The sequence below is a fragment of the Homo sapiens genome, chromosome 2 (assembly GCF_000001405.40).
Source record: "Homo sapiens chromosome 2, GRCh38.p14 Primary Assembly".
Lineage (NCBI taxonomy): Eukaryota > Metazoa > Chordata > Mammalia > Primates > Hominidae > Homo > Homo sapiens.
Window position 1 is genome coordinate 159,551,998 of NC_000002.12, and position 15,965 is coordinate 159,567,962.

At 36.8% G+C, this 15,965-nt stretch overlaps 1 protein-coding gene across 19 annotated transcripts in view; it reads right to left on the reverse strand.

Annotated features, from left to right (window-relative positions):
* BAZ2B (bromodomain adjacent to zinc finger domain 2B) overlaps window positions 1–15,965 on the reverse strand; it is a 397,131-nt gene that overhangs the window by 236,686 nt on the left and 144,480 nt on the right. For 18 of the 19 annotated variants that reach the window (XM_047444047.1, XM_047444046.1, XM_047444040.1 and 15 more), the window contains one exon: window positions 3,826–3,868. The exons of the other annotated variant lie outside the window; for it this stretch is intronic. The gene's annotated coding sequence lies outside the window, so the exon portion shown is untranslated. The remainder of the gene's footprint in view (window positions 1–3,825; window positions 3,869–15,965) is intronic. 19 annotated transcript variants of the gene reach the window in all.

The window sequence follows — 15,965 nt, forward strand, 5'->3', positions numbered from 1 at the left end:
CAGAAGTAGCAGAACACAAACTAAAACAAAGGTTTTTCTAACCCCAAGTCCATGTCCTTAACTATTATGTGCACTACTTTCCCACAAACTCTCTAGACCTTGGTTTTCTCGCCCATTACCTAAGGGGAATGCAGAGTACTCTAAACTATTCTATAGTTCATTTTGGTTTTTTAAGATGTTGCCATTCTAGTTCTCTGACTCCCTTTTCCTCAAATAAAAGAACATTATATTAATAGGTCCAATTGGCCTCCTTGCTGAAACTTGCTGAAAGTCAATAAAGTTATCACTAATATACATAATGTAGAAATCTATTTATTAAAACAGACAAAATGGCCACAATTTGTAAGTAAGGTAAATTTGAATGTTTAGGATATATCACTGAACTTTATAGTAGATTTCACGCCCATTGGTGTTATCTGTAAAGGAGTAAGCCATAAAATTCTATCACGAAGAGGGAGGAAAGCTAATAAAAATTGAATTTAAATTTCATAATCCTTTTAAATTCAAATAATGCATCGTTTTATAGGTGAAGATACTGAGGCACAAAGAGGCTGACTTGCTAGAAGTCACATCGCTAGTACACAGTGACGTTAGTACTTGAACTCTATAGGTTCTAAAATCTAAGCTCTTTTCTATCCACCCTGCTTCCTGTGGTTAAATTATATTAATGTATTAATATCCTTATTTCAATTTTAATATAAGAACACTAAAGATACTAATTGATTTAGCACTTTCTGGTTTATTATGATTGCCAACAAACATTTGCTGAGTATCGTAAGATGTGTATTAAAATAAGTACCCTAAATACAATTATGTTATCAGTAACCCTGGAGTAATAAAAATTAAGCATTACCAAACTATTAGGAACAGAGAACAAGGATGATTAGGGAAAACCTCAGGGAGATGATTATATGTGGATATGGTATTAGAGAGACAGTTTGATTTCACCAGAAGAAATTTTTTTAAGTGTGAAAAGAAAAAGAATATTCTAGGTAAAGGGAATAGCATGAATGTAAGTGTGGAGCCAAAATGTGTATCCAAGGTAGGGAATGTAGTCCACATTAGGTAGAGTGTACAGTTCTTATTCTTGAGTAATAGAAAATATGCTGAAGACAGCCTGGGCACAGTTGTTCACTCCTATAATCCCTGCACTTTGAGAGGCCAAGGCGGGTAGATCACTTGAGGTCAGGAGTTCGAGGCCAGCCTGGCCAACATGATAAAACCCTGTCTCTACTAAAAATACAAAAATTAGCTGGGCCTGGTGGCACCTGCTTGTAATCCCAGCTACTTGGAAGGCTGAGGCAGGAGAATCACCTGAACCCAGGAGGCAGAGGCTGCAGTGAGCCAAGATTGCACCACTGCACTCCAGCCTGGGCAAGAGTGAGACTCTGTCTCAAAAAAAAAAAAAAAAAAAAAAAAGAAAAGAAAGAAAGAAAAGAAAATATGCTGAAGACAAACTGAGGAAGGATCTTAAATACCAAGTTAGAAGGTCTGGATTTGATCACATAGGAAATGAGAAGCCACCACACATTTTCAAGTAGAGAAATAAAAGGAACCGAGCAATGCTTTAATCAGATCAAACTGGGAGTTGTGTACAAGTTTCAGTGGAATTGATAATGGCCAGGAAGAAGGGAGATCAGTTAAAAGGTTTTGACATTTATATGGATTGTGACATCAAAGAAAAAAACAGCAATTCTCCTGACTTCTGAAAATTTTGATTAAAACATATATAAAGTATATATTACATAATATATAAATAGCTACTACACTTCAGCTCTGAAACAACCCATAATATAATCTCCCTCTCTAACCATAACATTTTACTTTTAGTTCTTACTATGTCATCTCATTATACCAGTTTATGGATCTATGACTAGTCTCCTGATCTCTCTACTTCCTTTGGATAAATCAGCCCTTTCCTGGCCTCATTTTATTCCAGCCACACGGTAAACATATATTTGAACTACTCTCTCACTAGCACTCTGAACCTGAATCAATGTTGAAATCTACCCTCTTTTCTTAACTCAAAGGGCCAGCAAAAGCCTCACAACAGTGTCATAACAAACTTAAGGTTTCTAATATCAGTCACTTATGAACCTCTCAAATGAACACTTCTTACTCTTTAACTGATATTTAACATCTAATAATATTAAATATCACCTCTCTTCCTGAAATTCTTGGATTTAGATCAGTTGCAATTAATTACTCTCTTAATGTTACCCTAAAAATAAACTGTGGGAAAAAAAATTTAAATAAAAATAAGCTGTGGGAGTCAGCATTTTTAAATTTTAAAAAAGGTTTCATTTAATGCTAATGTTAACTTCCTTGATTGTAAAGCACTAGATGCTAAACAGAAGGTTTCTATAGAAATATGTCAATATTTTATTATAAAATATTCAGTTAGGGCAATAAAGTTCTAATTAAGAAAAAATAAACAAGGAAAGAGCTACAAATCAAAGAAAGCTAAAATGCTGCCTCAGGAAAATGAATAAAATATGCTATAAGCATTAGTAGACAAAATTATGATGATAAAGCCTTTAAAAATAAATAAAATTTCTCTCTAGTCTCTGCAAAATGTTAAACTTAACAAATGAACCAGTTTTCAAAAAAAAAAGATTGAACATAAATAAAAACATTATTGATATGTGAATTTATACTTCTAATAATTAATGCTTCTGGATTTAATGAGTTAAATTAAAACAGTTGAAGAAGCAGGATCATGGAGTAAATAATTTGGTAGAAATTTATTTATCTGTTATTTAAGAGAATTTTTCAAAAATGATATAAAGTTCATGATTGTAATTCAGATTTTATCACTTAGAATTTTCTAATGTGGATAAAGGCCCTGGAAAAGTTTTTCTTTAGGTAATATATGTCCTTACACACAACAGAAATTAACACTTAAAATAAAATTAAAAAGTATCAGTTACTTAAGAGAACCATCCTTTTATCAAAAAACTCTCCATATCTGGAAGACTCTATAAATCCTATAAATATCAATAAAAAATTTAAGCAAGATGCCTAAAAACTCTACCAAGGCTATATATATGTGGTATGTGGTGTATGTGGGGGGTGTGTGTGTGTGTGTGTGTATTTTTTTTTTTTTTTTTTTTAGAGATGGAGTCTCTCTATTGCCCAGGTTGGAGGGCAGTGGCACAATCTCAGCTCACTGCAACCTCCACCTCCCGGGTTCAAGTGATTCTCCTGCTTCAGCCTCCCGAGTAGCTGGGATTACAGGTGTGTGCCACCATGCCCAGCTATTTTTGTATTTTTAGTAGAGTCGGGGTTTTACCATGTTGGCCAGGCTAGTCTCGAACTCCTGACCTCAGCTGATCCACCCACCTCGGCCTCCCAAAGTGCTGGGATTACAGGCGTGAGCCACCGCGCCCAGCCTACCAAGGCTACATTTTCATAATCTTTCCTTAATAATTCATTACAATCTCAAGTAATTTACTTTTATATATATTTCCTAATGTGGAATCACCTTAACCTTTCTGTCATTTTCTGGTAAAAATAAAAACTCAAAAAAGATGACGTTCAGAATTTAAGTCACACTGAAATAATTTAGTATATTTAGGCCTGTAATTTCAGTTGTAAATTAAAAGTAATTTTCATTTTAAATGTTTTTTAAATCCTTTAAAGTAATATTTTAAAAGTATTTAAATAACTAGCTAGAAGTATAAGATATGATTCATTTAAAATGTTAACATTCAACTGGCTAGCAAAAGAAATAATAATTTCAAATTATATATGTTTTCTAAGTCAATTCTCATTCTCAGAGAAAACCAAACTTCCTTAAAAGCTTAACTATCATTTTGGTCTTACTGTGATCAATGTGGTCAATCTTGTGACATCACTGTTGGGAAACCTGCAATAGGAAAACAAGAATTAGCAATCAGCTGAAGCATACTTAAGAAATTTCAGAAACTAAAAAGTTTGTTTAAAATTTGTGTCTTTCTTCATGCTGTAAGTCATATTGAAATTAACCTACGGTATCAGGGTCCATATAATCAGTATGACAAAAATAAGCATAAAAGGACTGGAGTTTATTTATAGATCATTATTTATTATAGTATGGCAGATCATGTTTTTGTTTATAATCACCAACACCCTAGGGTGAACATAACATATTAAAAAACAAGCTGTAGGACATTTGGGTTACAAGTTTTATTTGTCTTCAAATTACGTACTCAGAAGAGAAAAACAATGTCTTAAATACGTCACAAACTGAAGACAATTAGGTATTATTTATAAATACTTTTCTGTCTATGATTATCAGTACAGATTAGAACCAAAATGTCATCTACTTAATACTGGAGACATTACCACATGCTAATATTTATGAATAGCGACAAAATTATCAAAAGATTGAAAATATCACTGGGAAGAATTTAGAACAGGAAAAAACTATTTCCTAAACTGTAAATGGCTTCAAGTTTATCCCTGTGAAATCTTAATTTTTGGAATTTTTTGTTGTTTTTTCGAGACAGAGTCTCAATCTCACCCAGGCTGGAGTGCAGTGGCGCGATCGTGGCTCACTGCAACCTCTGCCTCTTGGGTTCAAGCGATTTTTGTGCCTCAGCCTCCTGTGCAGATGGGACTACAAGTGTGCACCACCACACCCAGCTAACTTTTTGTATTTTTTGTAGAGACAGTGTTTCGCTATGTTGGCCAGCCTGTTCTCAAACTCCTGGCCTCAAGTGATCCACCTACTTTGACCTCCCAAAGTGCTGGGATTACAGGCATGAGCCACCGGACCTAGCCTGGAAATTTCTTTATTAACAAGGTCTAATTTGAGATGAGCCCTTAAATGTTTAGTATCAAAAAGTAACACATGGTTATGGCATTTTAAGGTTCATAATGGACTTTCATGTATTATTTTATCAGGTCCTCATAACGAATCCTTCAAAGGGGCAGGAAAGAGATATTCCTTATTATAGACTCCAGGAAAACAGAATTTAGAAATGATACATGACTTGTCTAAGCACAAAGAACTGAATTTTTCCTGGTTTCTCTTTTACCTCAGACCTTTCACCTAGTCTGTCCTACCAACTACTCTTCGTCACTCTATCCTTAATTTTACCTTACTACTTCATGATTACTGGCTCTCCTATGTTACCATTATAGCCTCCCTACTTCTATTCTTTTTTTTTTTTTTTCCCTGCCTCAGCCTCCTGAGTAGCTGGGGACTACAGGTGTGTGTCACTACACCTGGCTAATTAATTTTTTTTTTTTTTTTTTGAGATACGGGGTCTCACCATGTTGCCCAGGCTGGTCTCAAACTCCCGGTCTCAAGTACCTACCTCTGTTCTTAAAGCAAGTTAATCAGATCACATCATTCCCTTACTCAAAATTGTACAATGGCTTTAGCAGCTCTTAGAATAAAACCCACAATACTTATTATCATGACCTCTTAGGCCCTCTGTTACCTGGTGCCCTGACTGCATTTCCTGCTTCTACCATGTTCCAGTCACAATCACCCTTTTGATAATCCCCAAACATATCAAATTTGTTCCACTTCAGGGCCTTGACACTTGCTCTTCCCTCTGCCTGGAGCAATTGTTCTCCATATCTTCATAGGACTGGTTTTCTCACTTCAATCGGGTCTCATAACAAACGCCACCTCCTTAGAGAGGCCTTCCTTTACCACCAGAGGCTGCTGTTAGCTTTAACTCCATGAAGGAAGATCACTGGAGCACAAGTTTAGTACCTGGAACCCAATAGCTAATTAGCTACTGAATGAATGAGTGAACAAGTATTTATCAAGTTCCTACTGCATCCAGCATTATGTCAAGAGCTACAAAGGATCCAAAAGAAAGTTTAAATAAAAACTCTTCAAGAATTACTATCTATTTAAAGAAAATATGCCATAACAACTTGGTATACGTTTTTAAGTCACTGCAAGAAGCATTTGGGAAGCTTAAAAAAAAAAGCAAGGCAGGGGGTGATGGGAAAGCGCGGGTAGTGAATTAAAGGTGTATGATAATGAGGGTCTGGATAGTGAAGAAGAGGAAATGCAGAGGGAATGGGAAACCCAAATCTTAAATGGTGAAACCAGAAGGCTTCATGCTAAACTAAGTATTAGGAACAAGGATAGCAAAAAAGTGAAAGATTACTTCAAAGATTCTCACTCACATAATGAAAGAAATCTGAAGTGGCAGGGTGGGGTGACTTTTATTTAGAACAATAGGACAGGCCAGTGTCACCATAGGCCATTCAAATGAAGACGCTTCCCACCAGCAGGTAGAAATTTATTTATTTATTTATTTATTTTTTGAGATGGAATTTTGCTCTTGTTGCCCAGGCTGGAGTGCAATGGCGCGATCTCAGCTCACCGCAACCTCCACCTCCCAGGTTCAAGCAATTCTCCCGCCTCAGCCTTCCGAGTAGCTGGGATTACAGGCATGCGCCACCATGCCTGGCTAATTTTTTTTGTATTTTTAGTAGAGACGGGGTTTCTCCCTGTTGGTCAGGCTGGTCTTGAACTCCTGACCTCAGGTGATCCGCCTACCTCGGCCTCCCAAAGTGCTGAGATTACAGGCGTGAGCCACTGTGCCCGGCTCCAGCAGGTAGAAATTTAGAAGAGTTCAAGATTTGAAAATCAGTTATATAAAAGTACAGTTCAAGCCAAGACTGTGGGCAAGTTCACCAAGGGAATATGAAGAAAAAAACAGAACAGCCAGCATAATTTGGCAGAGACCTATAAGTAGGGCCCATGGGAAATAAGAGAAGTGGAATTGCAGGGTTTTTTGTTTTGTTTAAGTTCAAGAAGTAGAGACATAGAAAATACAATGAATAAAGGCACATGAAGAAAGATTTCCAAAGAGGAAAACATGTTGAACAGTTTTAGAGGGGTAAAAGTGTTAAGATGGGTAAAAGAAGATAAGACAGGAAACATTCTCTCTAAACTAACCTTCTCTACCCCATCATACCAAATTAGATCAGAAGGTAGCTACATAGGCCAGGCGCGGGTGGTTCATGCCTGTAATCCCAGCACTTTGGGAGGCTGAGGCAAGCAGATTGCTTGAGCCCATGAGTTCAAAACCAGCCTGGGCAACATGGTGAAACCCTATCTCTACAAAAAATAGAAAAATTGGCAAGACATGGTGGCACACGCCTGTAGTCCCGCCAAGCTACTCATGAGGCTGAGGTAGGAGGATCACCTGAGCCCAAGGAGGTCAAGGCTGCAGTGAGCTCTGATCGTACTACTGCACTCTATCTTGGGTGAAGGAGTAACCCTGTTAAAAAAAAAAAAGAAGGTGGCCACGGAGATAAAACACATTACTCTCTCTGTATCCAAAAAACTGCTTTCAAGGACCTACCTGCCTAACATTAAGCTCTCAACTTTAATCAATGCAAAAATAGTCTTTTGATGGTAACAGAGTCAATACAAGAAGTCTTGTGAAGGAAAAAACTACTTCTATAAAACCCTGTGATACAAAACAGGTATTAAAACTATTGTAAATAGTCACATTCTAACTATGCATATCTGAATAAAAGATAAATTCCATTTTACTTTTGATTTTTTGGAAAAATTATAAGTTAAGGATAGATCTACAGTTAAAAATATACAGTTTACTTAAAGCACTAAAGCTCATAGGATAAAAAAACTAGTAAAGGCATTCCTTCCTCATGGTAGCAATTTTTATACATGACTTAATAGGTACTTGCAATTGCATGAGGAAAAAAATATGTGAAATTAAAATGACACTAGAGGATAAAGCCAGACTAATCTTAAAGCTGCTCATAAAAATCCTAAGTGGCTTTTACAAGCAAAAGGTAATTCTTTCAAATCATTTCAAAGCTAAGAAATGTATTCAAATTACACATATAAAAAGTAATGTTACATTTTATGAAAACATAATTCAACTAATGTATTGGTTATATGCTATTTCTCTGCAAGTCACTGTTTTAGTAAATATGCACAGACAAAAATCTCAATAATATTAACCCCCAGAAAACATCTACAAATGTTACCTAACTACCAATGTGGGAAAAGAATTTTAAGTCATGATATGCAATCCTATGAGTATTTTTTCAGCAATCAGCACGTACTATCTTTATTTTTCCTCATGCTCTGCCCCAAAACAAAGTCTTTCTTTATGTACTCAATTTTAACATACTCATGTCTTAACCTTTCCTTGACTATACTACATACCTACAAACTAAAGATATTTATCCATACCTACTTCAATAAAAAGAGTCAATGAAATAAATGAATAGAATACCTATCTGCTTTTTCTCACTTTGCTCAATCTTAACACAGAAGTAATGCTGATTAATCCTGAAATTTGTCTGTAATCATCACAAAATATTTAATCATTCATTTATATATCAGTTTGATTTTGTGTGTGCTCTATGCTCTTTTCAAGGTATGGTTATACAATAAAAAAATTATTTTCAAAATTTACATGTGAAAAATAATCTCACAAATCATGTGCTATTTGTAGACTGTATCAGTGTTGTTATCTTGGATTATGGACCATGGACATGGAGAAGTTAAGGACTGTCATTCTCTTTTTAAAGTGTCAACTGTACATATTTTGGCATTTATTTTTAAGGTTTATAAAGCAACTTTTTTTTTTTTTTCGAGACAGAGTCTTGCTCTGTCACCCAGGCTAGAGTGCAGTGGTGCGATCTCTGCCTCAGCCTCCTGAGTAGCTAGGACTACAGGCGCCCACCACCACGCCCAGCTAATTTTTGTACTTTTAGTAGAGACGGGATTTCACCATCTTGGCCAAAGCTGGTCTCGAACTCCTGACCTCATGATCCACCCGCCTTGGCCTCCCAAAGTGCTGAGATTACAGGCATGAGCCACCGCACCCGGCTAAAACCCTAACTTGCTAATCATTTCAAATACTGACTTCTTAAATTTGAAGATTATTATTCAGTATGGAAAAAAAATCACAGACTTAGGATATAAGCAATACTTTTTTGGCAGGAGGGGAGGATACTTGAAAATAATAGAAAACTATATACTGGGAAACTGGTGACAATGTGATCTATCCAGTGTTGTGCAACAGAACTTTCTACAATGATGGGAATGTTCAGTGTCTATGCTGTCCAATATATACCTGCTATGATTTGGATATGGTTTGTTTGTACCCACCAAATCTCATGTTGAAATTTTATCCCCAGTGTGATATTGCAGGAAAGTGGGACATAAGGTAGGGTGTTTGGGTCATGGGGGTGGATCCCTCATGAATGGCCTGGTGCTGTTCTGGTAGTAATGAGTGAGTTCTTGCTCAAAGACTTGATTGGTTCTCTAGGGAATGGATTAGTTCCTGTGAGAATGAGTTGTTATAAAGCCAAGACACCTTTGGGTTTGGTCCCTCTCACCCATGCCAGCTTTCCCTTTGACCTTCTCCACCATATTTTGATGCAGCCCTCACCAGAAGCTGAGCTGATGACAGCACCATGCCTCTTGTACAGCCTGCAGAACTGTTAGCTTAATAAACCTCTTTTCTTTATAAACTACACAGCTTTAAGTATTCCTTTAGAGCAACACAAAATAGACTAAGACAGTAGCCTATAACCAAATGTGGTTACTGAGCACTTGTAATATGGCTGGTGTTACTAAGGAACCAACTTGTAAATATTATTTAGTTTTAATTACTCAAATGTAAATAGCCACATGTGGCTTATGGCTACCATATCAGATGCTACTACTATGTATTTCAGAAACCATAGCTGGACTGAACTGTAAATGGTGTTCCTAAATATTTGAAAAATTATTTTCTCCATTTTTTATAACTGGAAAAAGAAAACCTCAATTCTATTTGGTAGGATATGTACATTTCAATAAAACTGCTCCAAATTGGGAGGAGAGGAATTCTTATATCTTCAAATGTCTTTCAAGTTTATGTTTGGGGAAACAGGTTTATTTTACCATAGAATCTTTAACGTATAATAGAGCTTAGGAAACGAATCTTGGATTTTGGAGAACTGAGTTTTAAACCTCTTCAGATTGCATCATTATGGCTTGGTATTTAAAAGCTGCAATTTGCTTTACTTTGGTCAGCTGGGCAGAATTGCTTTACTTTGTTTTCTCATGTACTATTATGACTAAAACTAAATTTACATTTCCATAAATTACTAAGAGGTATCAATAATTACACCATCCTTTCTGGAAAAATTGGCATTCTATCAAAATGCATTACATTCTTCATTTGCATCACTTGTCTTTATTGTTCTGTGTGACTGAAACTTCTCTAAAAAAAGGTATAATTCCCATAGGTTGAATCACAAAATTTTCAGACAGCTAACAAAAGCCTTATTACATGAAGTTTAGCGAGACCTGAGATGACAACTTCATTGTTTTGCTTGTGATAAAAAACCATGGAAACAAAGCATAACTGGCTATTAGACTTGGTAAATTTAAAAAACACACACACACATAAGCTGCCTGTTTTTCCACACTTTACCACTCTATTCTTTCAACACTGCTTAGCACTTCGCAACATCTTTACTCATTCCCTCTTAAGTTTCCATTTTAGAGCCATAAATGGGCTTCCAGTAGAGGAAGGAGGTAGTAGCACTGCCAACTGCTATTGAAACATTCTTGAGGTTAATGTATATACACAATATCCAAAAGTGAACCAATCACTTGGGTGAAGTAATACAATGAAGTTTCATTTGAGAAAAATTATGTGTTGTTTTAGTTATATATACTTTTATTTATCTAACTACAAGTTTTTAGGGAATTCAATTCAAATTGTAGCAACCCACAGTGAGCTTTGGGTTAAACCTTTAGGAATTAAGTTAAAGCACATTGCCTGATTATAGAAATTTTTAGTTTTTTATACCAAAATTAGAGTCCATTTTGGTCCTGTCCACAAATGCCAAATTGACAGATAATTTGACCCTCGCAAGATTGCTTTTTTTAAAAAAATCACTCAAATAAGCCAGCAATCAAGACAAACATAAGGTAACAGTTTCATAAAGTTTTCAAGCACCATAGCTAAAGAACAGACATGATGCTATTCCAACCCACACCTTCAAAAATCAATTTCAGACTATGGCTGTGAAGACTGGAAAAATAATCATGCAATCTAATAATACAGCGGTCAAAGAAATATTTAGTTAGGTCAAATAACTAAAGTTATCATTACTAATAAATACAAAGTTTCAGAAAATTTGTATTTTACTGTTTTTATTCAAAGAACATTGCTATGAATATTTAGAGAAATTAAATGATTACTGCTCTTGGTTTTTCCTAGAACATAGAATAATTTCATCACAAACAAAAAATTTGGTCTAATGTTTTCAACAGGGACTACATAATCCTGGTCCTTACTCAGAATTTTGGCATATATTCATTATGTACCTTAGGCAATCTATCAGTATTTCTTCAGTTTGCAATACCATAATTATCGACTTCACAAGGGATATTGTGAAGTTTAGTTAATTATGTTTATAACATTTTTTGAGGGTCACAGATGAAAGAGGAGTGTAAGGCATACATACAATTAATTTATAGTACTTGGTGAAAAAATGCCACTTAAAAATATTTAACAGCAACAACATGGATGAACCTTAAAGACATTATATGTTAAGTAAAATAAGCCAGTCACAAAAGGACAAATACAATATGATTCTACACATATGTGGTACCCAGAATAGTCAAATTCATAGAGACAGAAAGTAAAATGATAATTGCCAGGGACTAGGGGAAGGAGGAGTGGAAGTTCTTATTTAATGGGTACAGAGTTTCGGATTTGGAAGATGAAAAAAAGTAATGGTTGTACAACAATATGAATGAATATACTTAATGCCACTGAATACACTTTAAAATGGCTAAAATGGTAAATTTAATGTTATATATATTTTACCACAATAAAATCACAAGTGTGAAAATCAGAATATGAATCACAAGCCAATTTTAACATTCTCTGATTCACTCATTAAGACATGAATCGAATAATTCTTTTGTTCATTCAGTAAATATTTATCAAATGATTTCTATGTGGCAGGTACTGTGTTAGACCTGGGAGTATAGCACTGAACAAGACAAAGTCTCCGCTTCATAGAATTTACATTTTAGCAGTAGAGACCTACAAAATCATTTTTGCAAACTATCCTTCTTATAGTGATAAGTACTACACTGAAGGGTAAAGAGATGAAATGACAGCAAGGAGGTATCTCTGAGAAGATAATTACCCTGAGAATGAAGTAAAAAGGAACATTCCAGATAGAACAGAAGTGCCAAGGCCCTGAGTTGAGAAGGCCTGGTGTTTTCAAAAAATGACAAGAATGCCCAGGGCTAGTGCAGAGTAAGATAGGGGGTAGGAGAGCAAGGCAGAGACCACAGAGGGCCTGGAAAGCAACAGTAAATACTCTAGATGTTATTCTACATGTGCTGAAAGCCATATGGGATGTTATGACTAAGTGAATGATGTGATTTGATTTAAAAAAACAACAACACTCTAGCCACTGTATATGGAATGATCTTGGGGATATGGGAGAGAAAGGAGAATCAAAACACAGTGACCAGTTGAGCAACTGTAGTAACTCAGGTAGAAATAAGAAGACTATCACGGTAGCCATATTGGTGGTGAAAAAAGTGATTATTTTTGATATTTGATTGCTGATGACTAAACAAGAAAAAAAACAGAATAATTAAGGATGATTCCAAGGTTTTGGTCAGATCAACTGGGTAAATGACATTGCCAAATTTTGAGATAAAGAACAATGGGATAGGAATAGGATTGCTGGTGGTGGTAGTGGTAATAGTAGTAAGGAACCAAGAGTGTGATCTTGACAAAGTTAAGTACTCAAGTAAAGAGTTTCAGGAAAGATAACATGACAAACTGTGACAAATGCTGCCGGGAAAACAACATGAGGACTGAGAAATGACCACTGGATTTAGCAAGATAAATTACTTTATTTTTTGAGGCAGAGTCTCACTCTGTCACCCAGGCTGGAGTGAAGTGGTACGATCTTGGCTCACTGCAACCTTCACCTCATGGGTTCAAGTGATTCTCCCACCTCAGCCTCCCAAGTAGCTGGGATTAGAAGTGTGCGCCACCACAATCAGCTAATTTTTGTAATTTTAGTAGAGACAGGGTTTCACCATGTTGGCCAGGCTGGTCTCGAACTCCTGACCTCAGATGATCCGCCTGCCTTGGCCTCCCAAAGTGCTGGGATTACAGGCGTGAGCCACCATGCCGGCCTCAAGACAAATTTCACTGGTGTCCGTGACAAGAATGTTGTCAGTGAAGTGGTAAGGACAAAAGAATGAATACAGTAAAAAGAAGAGAAAGTGAGATGAGGATATGAAAGCAGCATATGTGGACAACTCTGACGGAGTATTGCTCTGAAGGGTGGTAAAGAAATGGTACTATACCTAGAGGGGGAGTGGAGTCTTCAAAGTTATTTTTGTATTAAAATGGGAGACAGTATAACACACATGCTGATGACATGATCTAGAGAGAGAAAAAATGATGGCAAAAATTGCAGAAGCAAAATCAGTGATTACTAAGCATCTAATAAATGCTTAAGGCCAGGCGTGGTGGCTCACACCTGTAATCCCAGCACTTTGGGTGGCCAAGGCGGGGGGATCACGAGGTCAGGAGTTCAAGACCAGCCTGACTAATATGGTGAAACCCTGTCTTTACAAAAAATACAAAAATTAGCCAGGTGTTGTTGCGCGCCCCTGTAGTACCAGCTACTTCGGAGGCTGAGGCAAGAGAATCGCTTGAATCCGGGAGGGCGAGTTTGCAGCAAGCTGAGATTGTGCCACTGCATTCCAGCCTGGGCAACAGAGTGAGACTCCCATCTCAAAAAAAAAAAAAAAGGAAAAAAAAAAAAGAAGAAGAAAGAAAGCTTGTATCTGTCCTTGCTGCTGGAAATACAAAGGTAATAAATATAAGACATGAAACTAATGGAAGGATTATATGGAAACTATACTGAAAATCATGAAGGGAAATACAACAAATAGACAATTAGAAAATCATTTAGAAACAATACTATTTGGTAATAGGCTGCCATGTTAAAAATATTACATAAAGCAATGTTGACTTTTTTGTTTTTCAGAAGGAGTTTCGCTCTTGTTGCCCAGGCTGGAGTGCAATGGCTCAATCTGGGCTCACAGCAACCTCCGCCTCCCAGGTTCAAGCGATTCTCCTGCCTCAGCCTCCCGAGTAGTTGAGATTACAGGCATGCACCACCACGTCTGGCTAATTTTGTATTTTTAGTAGAGATGGGGTTTCTCCATGTTGGTCAGGCTGGTTTCGAACTCCTGACCTCAGGTTATCCACCCGCCTCAGCCTCCCAAAGTGCTGGGATTACAGGTGTGACCCACCGCGCCTGGCAATGTTGACATATCTTATGATGTGACAGCAATGTCCTTCTAAGCTATATACATGCAGTTGCATAGTGTAAAAACGTCATGTACAGCCTTTGATTTGATTAATCACAGTTAGATTTAGACTGAATCAACCTTAGACAAAAAGCAAAGCCAGCAATTTAAGAAAACATCTCCACTGCGCTTCCCCTTCTCCCTTTGCAGTATTGACCCATTTCTGTTTTTGAATTTTCAGTATCCCTGAATTCTATAATTCACCACCTTACAACAGGAGGCCATTCACATATCAATCATTTACATAAATTTTCATCATCTCCAGAGTTCCCTTCCCTTTGCTTATTTAACTATTTGCCATTTGTTCTCTTGCCTCCTTAAAAAAGTTAAGAATTTTAAAGTTATAAAGACTACTAATTACGTATTTGTGTAAATTAATCTAGATAAGTTACTCAAACACACATTTGCATTTTTAACTTTTCCCGCTCTAATTATAAGATCCTTTTAAACCTTTTGTAATTTTATATCCTTTACTGTTCTAAAATAAGATGTGAGAGGTTATATACTAAGGTACATAATATACAGGTTAAATGCAAACTAAGGAAACGGAGAAAGAAAAATAAGATGAGGTTAAAGATAAGGGTGGAATTAAAAATGCATTCAGGGGCCGGGCGTGGTGGCTCACACCTATAATCCCAGCACTTTGGGAAGCTGAGGCGAGTGATCACCTGAGGTCAGGAGTTTCAGACCATCCTGGCCAACATGATGAGACCTTGTTTCTACTAAAAATACAAAAATTAGCCAGGCATGGTGGTGTGCACCCGTAGTCCCAGCTACTCAGGAGGCTGACGCAGGAGAATCGCTTGAACCCGGGAAGCAGAGGTTGTAGTGAGCCGAGATCACACCACTGCACTCCAGCCTGGGCAACAGGCTCAAAGAAAAAAAGAAAAAAATTCATTCAACAAGACCCTGTAACCTTTGTTACTGGGGGGAACCTATAAATACATGGCTTTTAGTTTCCTGTTCATCAGTGCAGAGAAGAAATGGCTGTCATATACAGCTTTTATTTGTTTATATCACTTACAGTATTCATAAGGTAAAAATAAATCATTTTCTTGAAAGAAGCACAGTTTTTTTTACTGAGACCTAAGGTAAATCATTTTACTGAATTGTCAAAGATACTGCAGCAATAAATTCAATGTGTTTTGTAGGACTACTTCTTTAACATCTTTCAGAGTTCGTCAATGGCATATTGCTTGGGCATTTTAGCTAAAATAAGAGGGTTTGAGAATGTTGCACATTATTTTAATTCCAGGATGAGTTTGCAATATCCAGAGTAGCAGTATTCCACATGTTTCAGGTATTCCTCCCTAAAATATTACAATTTAAAAATCAGGCTGGGTGTGGTGGCTCACGCCTGTAATCATAGCACTTCAGGAGGCTGCAGCGGGCAGCTCACGAGGTCAAGAGATCGAGACCATCCTGACCAACATGGTGAAACCCCATCTCTACTAAAAATACAAAAATTAGCTGGGCATGGTGGCACGCATCTGTAGTCCCAGCTACTCGGGAGGCTGAGGCAGGAGAATCGCTTGAACCTGGGAGGCGGAGGTTGCCGTGAGCCAAGATTGTGCCACTGCACTCCAGCCTGGGGAAAGAGTGAGAT